Genomic DNA, 1462 nt, shown 5'->3' with positions numbered 1-1462 from the left:
AAAAGGGACTTTACTGTTGTGATTAAGGATCTTGGGATGGAAGGTCATCTTTGATTATCTGGGTTGGCCCAATGTATAAAGGTCCTTGTAAAGGAAAAGGGAAGTAAGAGAGTTAGAGTCAACAAAGGATATGTGATGATGAATCAGAGGTTGGCGTGATGTGGAGCCAGGGGGCCAAGGAATGTGAGTAGCCTCTAGAAGCTAGAAAACTTAAGGAAAAGGATTTTCCCCTAAAGCTTTAGGCAGGAACCAGCCCTGCCAACACCTTGACTTTAGTCCAGTGAGACTCCTTTTGGACTTCCGACCTTCAGAACTGTAGGATAATAAATTTGTATTGTTTTAGGCCACGAAATTTGTGGTAATTTGTTGTAACATCAGTAGGAAACTAATATAGTGACATTTTGAACTCATTTTATATAGGCAGCCTACTGTTTTTAGAAAAGTTAATTTTGAAGCAGAAAATTGGAAAATTTTACATGGAAAGTTAACCAAGTACTGAAAATTGCTGTCTACAATAATATATTTGTTTCTGTGGGGGACTAGAGTGATAAATTAAAACTGTCAAAGCGGAATTTCACTGGACAAAGTTAAACAAGCAAGGCTATTGCAATAGGGGAGGTAAGCTAGAACTCAGTCTGAACTCAGTTCCATGAGAACAAAGGGCTGGGAGGTTTTAAAGGGACAAGGATGAGCTAGTGGAACAGTACTGGAGGACAATAGGGGGAAGGTTAATCAATGTAATATGAGCACATTGAGTTAGTTTCCTGAGTTTGCAAATTATTGTCTTTGTGATTAGGCCATCTGTGTTCCCTAATTGGTCACCATTGAATTAGGCTCCTATCCATCCAGAGACTGGCAGATAGGGGCACTATCTTCCTTGATAATTACATTTCAAAAGGAAGGCTCCCAGGTCCTTGGGAAGACATTCCTGGGGTATGAAAGTGGTTAGAGGCTTCTAATATATTTGCATCTCAAAGAGGGAAGGAAGAGAAAGAATTTACAGTAACAAGCTTTCTAAAGTAAATCCTCTAAGAAAAATGAGGTCTGGCCTAGAGTCAAGAAGAAGCCTGTCTAATGCTAGTCAAGCTGAAGGGAACTTTAAGGTGAACTTGGTCAACACTTTAGGTACTGGTGATTTCTGCTGTGCAAAGATTTTTTTTTTTTCCCTAGGTGTGATGGGGGTACTATGTTATTTGTAAATATGATAATATTTAGAGACTTAATTTTCTTTTAACATACATTCCTCATGAGAAGACAATGAAATTTAAAAAGAAGAAAATAAAACAAAAGAGAAGAAATACTCCTGGACGTATGTTGCAAGTTAAATCAAGATTGCAGTACAAAGTTATAATAACAAAATGCTTGTAGAAGAGTGAAGATGAATGAGGGGCCAGAAGGTTAAGGCCTAAGGATGATATGAAGAACAGAGATAGATAAATTTATCTCAGAAGCAATAAAATAC

At 37.8% G+C, this 1462-nt stretch overlaps 1 annotated feature.

Moving 5' to 3' along the window:
* Positions 544 to 1155: an enhancer, noted in NCBI's record as "OCT4-NANOG hESC enhancer chrX:28144928-28145539 (GRCh37/hg19 assembly coordinates)". NCBI's record gives its function as "activates a minimal SCP1, AML or CMV promoter by ChIP-STARR-seq in primed H9 embryonic stem cells {active_cell/tissue: H9 hESC(primed)}" and the evidence as "EXISTENCE:reporter gene assay evidence [ECO:0000049][PMID:30033119]".

Source organism: Homo sapiens, chromosome X (genome assembly GCF_000001405.40).
Source record: "Homo sapiens chromosome X, GRCh38.p14 Primary Assembly".
Taxonomy (NCBI): Eukaryota; Metazoa; Chordata; class Mammalia; order Primates; family Hominidae; genus Homo; species Homo sapiens.
This window is presented reverse-complemented; position numbering and strand designations above follow the sequence as displayed.